The 2,091-nt window shown below is 49.1% G+C and overlaps 1 annotated feature.

The window, feature by feature from the left end:
* Positions 66-225: an enhancer, noted in NCBI's record as "active region_11824". NCBI's record gives its function as "activates an Ori minimal core promoter by ATAC-STARR-seq in GM12878 lymphoblastoid cells {active_cell/tissue: GM12878}" and the evidence as "EXISTENCE:reporter gene assay evidence [ECO:0000049][PMID:35858748]".

Genomic DNA, 2,091 nt, shown 5'->3' with positions numbered 1-2,091 from the left:
GGCTGCGGACCTCTGGAAAGAGCCGGGGCGGGGCCGGGCCATGCTGTACTGGCCCACGGCTGCGGCTGGCAGGAGCAAGCAAGGAAGAGAGGGAATCTGCCCGTGTTGAACTCTGAACTGCGGGTCCCTGAGCGCAGCTGACTGGCAGTGTAAGGAAAAGGGGCTGAGCCGAAAGCCTAGTGGCTTTCATTTTATACTATAAATGGAGGTGTCCAATCTTTTGGCTTCTCTGGGCCACATTGGAAGAATTGTCTTGGGCCACACGTAAAATACACCAACACTAACGATAGCTGATGAGCTTAAAAAAAAATCGCCAAAAAAACCCTCAATGTTTTGGCCGGGCGCGGTGGCTCACGCCTGTAATCCCAGCACTTTGGAAGGCCGAGACGGGCGGATCACCTGAGGTTGGGAGTTCGAGACCAGCCTGACCAACATGGAGAAACCCATGTCTACTAAAAATACAAAATTAGCCGGGCGTGGTGGCGCGCGCCTATAATCCCAGCTACTGGGAAGGCTGAGGCAGGAGAATTGCTTGAACCCGGGAGGCGGAGGTTGCGGTGAGTGGAGATTGCGCGCCATTGCACTCCAGCCTGGGCAACAAGAGCGAAACTCCATCTCAAAAAACAAACAAACAAAAAACCTCAGTTTTTTTTTCTTTGTTTTAGTTTTGTTTTTTTGAGACGGAGTCTCACTTTGTCATCCAGGCTGTAGTTCAGTGGTGTGATCTTGGCTCACCGCAACCTCCGACTCCTGGGTTCAAGTGATTCTCCTGCCTCAGCCTCCCAAGTAGTTGGGATTACAGGCGCGTGCCACCACACTCGGCTAATTTTTGTATTTTTAGTAGAGACGAGGTTTCACCATGTTGGCCAGGCTGGTCACGAACTCCTGACCTCAAGTGATCTGCCTGCCTCAGCCTCACAAAGTGCTGGGATTACAGGCGTGAGCCGCTGTGCCCTGCCTAAATTTCATAATGTTTTAAGAAAGTTTACGAATTTGTGTTTGGCCACATTCAAAGTGGTCCTGGGCCACATGTGGCTGCAGACCTCAGGTGGGACAAGCTTGAAGAGGTTCAAAATGGATCCCCAAGATGCTGCCACTGCACTCCAGCATGGGCAACAGAGCGAGAACCTGTCTCAAGAAAAAAAAAGTGGATCCCCATACCACCTTTTTTTTTTTTTTTTTTTTTTTGAGACAGGGTCTCACTTGATCACCCAGGCTGGTGTGCAGTGGCGTGATCACAGCTCACTGCAGCCTCGACCTCCCAGGCTCAGGTGATCCTCCCTCCTCAGTCTGGGAGAAAATCAGCCACCGCGCCTGGCTGATTTTTGTATTATGTTGTAGAGATGGAGTTTCACCATTGTTGCCCAGTCTGGTCTTGAACTTCTGAGCTCAAGGAATCTGCCAGCCTTGGCCTCCCAGAGTTCTGAGATTACAGGCATGAGCCACTGCACCTGCCCCCCATACCACCTTAACGCAGTACTCCAACTCAGGATCACCTACCATCAGATGCCTCCTGATACGAAGCAGTGTAAAGTAGACAGCATCTCGTGACATTTTTTCTTAGACAGGCTCTCCCTCTATTGCCTAGGCTAGAGTGCAGTGGCGTGACTACAGCTCACTGCAACCTCAACCTTCCAGGCTCAAGTGATCCTCCCACCTCAGCCTCCTGAGTAATTGTGACTATAGGCCCGAACCATCATGCCTGGCTAATTAAAAAAAATTTTTTTTTGTAGAGATGGGGTTTCACTATGTTGCCCAGGCTGCTCCTGAACTCCTGGTCTCAAGCAGTCCTCCCACCTCGGCCTCCCAAGGTGCTAGGATTACAGGCATGAGCCACCTCATCTGGCTGACAGCATCTCTTATGTAGAATTCTTGCCAAAAATACTGTAACTGAGTTTAGGCATGAGGAAACATCAGATAAATGTAGAAAGTGGAACATTTTATAAGGCAATTGGCCTTGGTTCATCAAAATTGTCAATGACAGTGGCCAGGGGGTAAGTAGGGAGATTGTTCTAAATGAAAAAATGTTACGTGTGTGGAACTTGTCCAGATTCTGGTTGAAATTTTTATTTTATTTAAATTTATATATTT

The sequence above is a fragment of the Homo sapiens genome, chromosome 17 (genome assembly GCF_000001405.40).
Source record: "Homo sapiens chromosome 17, GRCh38.p14 Primary Assembly".
In the NCBI taxonomy this organism is placed as follows: Eukaryota; Metazoa; Chordata; class Mammalia; order Primates; family Hominidae; genus Homo; species Homo sapiens.
Note: the sequence above shows the minus strand (reverse complement) of the source record. Positions and strands in the feature narration are given on the sequence as shown.